Below are 4,418 nucleotides of genomic sequence, written 5' to 3'. Positions count from 1 at the left end.
ATTGAATCTGTAAATTACCTTGGGCAGTATGGCCATTTTCACGATATTGATTCTTCCTACCCATGAGCATGGAATGTTCTTCCATTTGTTTGTATCCTCTTTTATTTCCTTGAGCAGTGGTTTGTAGTTCTCCTTGAAGAGGTCCTTCACATCCCTTGTAAGTTGGATTCCTAGGTATTTTATTCTCTTTGAAGCAATTGTGAATGGGAGTTCACTCATGATTTGGCTCTCTGTTTGTCTGTTGTTGGTGTATACGAATGCTTGTGATTTTTGCACATTGATTTTGTATCCTGAGACTTTGCTGAAGTTGCTTATCAGCTTAAGGAGATTTTGGGCTGAGACAATGGGGTTTTCTAGATATACAATCATGTCATCTGCAAACATGGACAATTTGACTTCCTCTTTTCCTAATTGAATACCCTTTATTTCCTTCTCCTGCCTAATTGCCCTGGCCAGAATTTCCAACAGTATGTTGAATAGGAGTGGTGAGAGAGGGCATCCCTGCCTTGTGCCAGTTTTCAAAGGGAATGCTTCCAGTTTCTGCCCATTCAGTATGATATTGGCTGTAAGTTTGTCATAGATAGCTCTTATTATTTTGAAATGTGTCCCATCAATACCTAATTTATTGAGAGTTTTTAGCATGAAGCGTTGTTGAATTTTGTCAAAGGCCTTTTCTGCATCTATTGAGATAATCATGTGGTTTTTGTCTTTGGTTCTGTTTATATGCTGGATTACATTTATTGATTTGCATATATTGAACCAGCCTTGCATCCCAGGGATGAAGCCCACTTGATCATGGTGGATAAGCTTTTTGATGTGCTGCTGGATTCGGTTTGCCAGTATTTTATTGAGGATTTTTGCATCAATGTTCATCAAGGATATTGGTCTAAAATTCTCTTTTTTGGTTGTGTCTCTGCCAGGTTTTGGTATCAGGACAATGCTGGCCTCATAAAATGAGTTAGGGAGGATTCCCTCTTTTTCTATTGATTGGAATAGTTTCAGAAGGAATGGTACCAATTCCTCCTTGTACCTCTGGTAGAATTCAGCTGTGAATCCATCTGGTCCTGGACTCTTTTTGGTTGGTAAGCTATTGATTATTGCCACAATTTCAGATCCTGTTATCGGTCTATTCAGAGATTCAACTTCTTCCTGGTTTAGTCTTGGGAGAGTGTATGTGTCGAGGAATTTATCCATTTCTTCTAGATTTTCTAGTTTATTTGCGTAGAGGTGTTTATAGTATTCTCTGATGGTAGTTTGTATTTCTGTGGGATCGGTGGTGATATCCCCTTTATCATTTTTTATTGCGTCTATTTGATTCTTCTCTCTTTTTTTCTTTAGTAGTCTTGCTAGCGATTTAACAATTTTGTTGATCCTTTCAAAAAACCAGCTCCTGGATTTATAATTTTTTGAAGGGTTTTTTGTGTCTCTATTTCCTTCAGTTCTGCTCTGATTTTAGTTATTTCTTGCCTTCTGCTAGCTTTTGAATGTGTTTGCTCTTGCTTTTCTAGTTCTTTTAATTGTGATGTTAGGGTGTCAATTTTGGATCTTTCCTGCTTTCTCTTGTGGGCATTTAGTGCTATAAATTTCCCTCTACACACTGCTTTGAATGTGTCCCAGAGATTCTGGTATGTGTCTTTGTTCTCGTTGGTTTCAAAGAACATCTTTATTTCTGCCTTCATTTCGTTATGTACCCAGTAGTCATTCAGGAGCAGGTTGTTCTGTTTCCATGTAGTTGAGCGATTTTGAGTGAGATTCTTAATCCTGAGTTCTAGTTTGATTGCACTGTGGTCTGAGAGATAGTTTGTGATAATTTCTGTTCTTTTACATTTGCTGAGGAGAGCTTTACTTCCAAGTATGTGGTCAGTTTTGGAATAGGTGTGATGTGGTGCTGAAAAAAATGTATATTCTGTTGATTTGGGGTGGAGAATTCTGTAGATGTCTATTAGGTCTGCTTGGTGCAGAGCTGAGTTCAATTCCTGGGTATCCTCGTTGACTTTCTGTCTCGTTGATCTGTCTAATGTTGACAGTGGGGTGTTAAAGTCTCCGATTATTAATGTGTGGGAGTCTAAGTCTCTTTGTAGGTCACTAAGGACTTGCTTTATGAATCTGGGTGCTCCTGTATTGGGAGCATATATATTTAGGACAGTTAGCTCTTCTTGTTGAATTGATCCCTTTACCATTAAGTAATGGGCTTCTTTGTCTCTTTTGATCTTTGTTGGTTTAAAGTCTGTTTTATCAGAGACTAGGATTGCAACACCTGACTTTTTTTGTTTTCCATTTGCTTGGTAGATCTTCCTCCATCCTTTTATTTTGAGCCTATGTGTGTCTCTGCACATGAGATGGGTTTCCTGAATACAGCACACTGATGGGTCTTGACTCTTTATCCAATTTGCCAGTCTGTGTCTTTTAATTGGAGCATTTAGTCCATTTACATTTAAAGTTAATATTGTTATGTGTGAATTTGATCCTGTCATTATGATGTTAGCTGGTTATTTTGCTGGATAGTTGATGCAGTTTCTTCCTAGTCTTGATGGTCTTTACATTTTGGCATGATTTGGCAGTGGCTGGTAACAGTTGTTCCTTTCCATGTTTAGCGCTTCCTTCAGGAGCTCTTTTAGGTCAGGCCTGGTGGTGACAAAATCTCTCAGCATTTGCTTGTCTGTAAAGTATTTTATTTCTCCTTCACTTATGAAGCTTAGTTTGGCTGGATATGAAATTCTGGGTTGAAAATTCTTTTCTTTAAGAATGTTGAATATTGGCCCCCACTCTCTTCTGGCTTGTAGAGTTTCTGCTGAGAGATCAGCTGTTAGTCTGATGGGCTTCCATTTGAGGGTAACCCGACCTTTCTCTCTGGCTGCCCTTAACATTTTTTCCTTCATTTCAACTTTGGTGAATCTGACAAGTATGTGTCTTGGAGTTGCTCTTCTCGAGGAGTATCTTTGTGGCGTTCTCTGTATTTCCTGAATCTGAATGTTGGCCTGCCTTGCTAGATTGGGGAAATTCTCCTGGATAATATCCTGCAGAGTGTTTTCCAACTTGGTTCCATTCTCCCCGTCACTTTCAGGTACACCAATCAGACGTAGATTTGGTCTTTTCACATAGTCCCATATTTCTTGGAGGCTTTGCTCATTTCTTTTTATTCTTTTTTCTCTAAACTTCCCTTCTTGCTTCATTTCATTCATTTCATCTTCCATCGCTGATACCCTTTCTTCCAGTTGATCGCATGGGCTCCTGAGGCTTCTGCATTCTTCACGTAGTTCTCAAGCCTTGGTTTTCAGCTCCATCAGCTCCTTTAAGGACTTCTCTGTATTGGTTATTCTAGTTATACATTCTTCTAAATTTTTTTCAAAGTTTTCAACTTCTTTGCCTTTGGTTTGAATGTCCTTCGTAGCTCGGAGCAATTTGATCATCTGAAGCCTTCTTCTCTCAGCTCGTCGAAGTCATTCTCCATCCAGCTTTGTTCCATTGCTGGTGAGGAACTGCGTTCCTTTGGAGGAGGAGAGGCGCTCTGCTTTTTAGAGTTTCCAGTTTTTCTGCTCTGTTTTTTCCCCATCTTTGTGGTTTTATCTACTTTTGGTCTTTGATGATGGTGATGTACAGATGGGTTTTTGGTGTGGATGTCCTTTCTGTTTGTTAGTTTTCCTTCTAACAGACAGGACCCTCAGCTGCAGGTCTGTTGGAGTACCAGGCTGTGTGAGGTGTCAGTGTGCCCCTGCTGGGGGGTGCCTCCCAGTTAGGCTGCTGGGGGGTCAGGGGTGAGGGACCCACTTGAGGAGGCAGTCTGCCCGTTCTCAGATCTCCAGCTGCGTGCTGGGAGAACCACTGCTCTCTTCAAAGCTGTCAGACAGCGACATTTAAGTCTGCAGAGGTTACTGCTGTCTTTTTGTTTGTCTGTGCCCTGCCCCCAGAGGTGGAGCCTACAGAGGCAGGCAGGCCTCCTTGAGCTGTGGTGGGCTCCACCCAGTTTGAGCTTCCCGGCTGCTTTGTTTACCTAAGCAAGCCTGGGCAATGGCGGGCTCCCCTCCCCCAGCCTCGCTGCCGCCTTGCAGTTTGATCTCAGACTTCTGTGCTAGCAATCAGCGAGACTCCGTGGGTGTAGGACACTCTGAGCCATTGCGGGATATAATCTCCTGGTGCGCCATTTTTTAAGCCCGTCGGTAAAGCGCAGTATTCGGGTGGGAGTAACCCGATTTTCCAGGTGCCATCCATCACCACTTTCTTTGACTAGGAAAGGGAACTCCCTGACCCCTTGCACTTCCTGAGTGAGGCAATGCCTCGCCCTGCTTCGGCTCGCGCACGGTGCATTCACCCACTGACCTGCGCCCACTGTCTGGCACTCCCTAGTGAGATGAACCCGGTACCTCAGATGAAAATACAGAAATCACCCGTCTTCTGCATCGCTCACGCTGAGAGCTGTA

General features: G+C 42.3%; 1 annotated feature.

The window, feature by feature from the left end:
- Nucleotides 3,584-4,126: an enhancer, noted in NCBI's record as "H3K27ac-H3K4me1 hESC enhancer chr6:49354927-49355469 (GRCh37/hg19 assembly coordinates)". NCBI's record gives its function as "activates a minimal SCP1, AML or CMV promoter by ChIP-STARR-seq in primed H9 embryonic stem cells {active_cell/tissue: H9 hESC(primed)}" and the evidence as "EXISTENCE:reporter gene assay evidence [ECO:0000049][PMID:30033119]".

The sequence above is a fragment of the Homo sapiens genome, chromosome 6, assembly GCF_000001405.40.
Source record: "Homo sapiens chromosome 6, GRCh38.p14 Primary Assembly".
NCBI lineage: Eukaryota > Metazoa > Chordata > Mammalia > Primates > Hominidae > Homo > Homo sapiens.
This window is presented reverse-complemented; position numbering and strand designations above follow the sequence as displayed.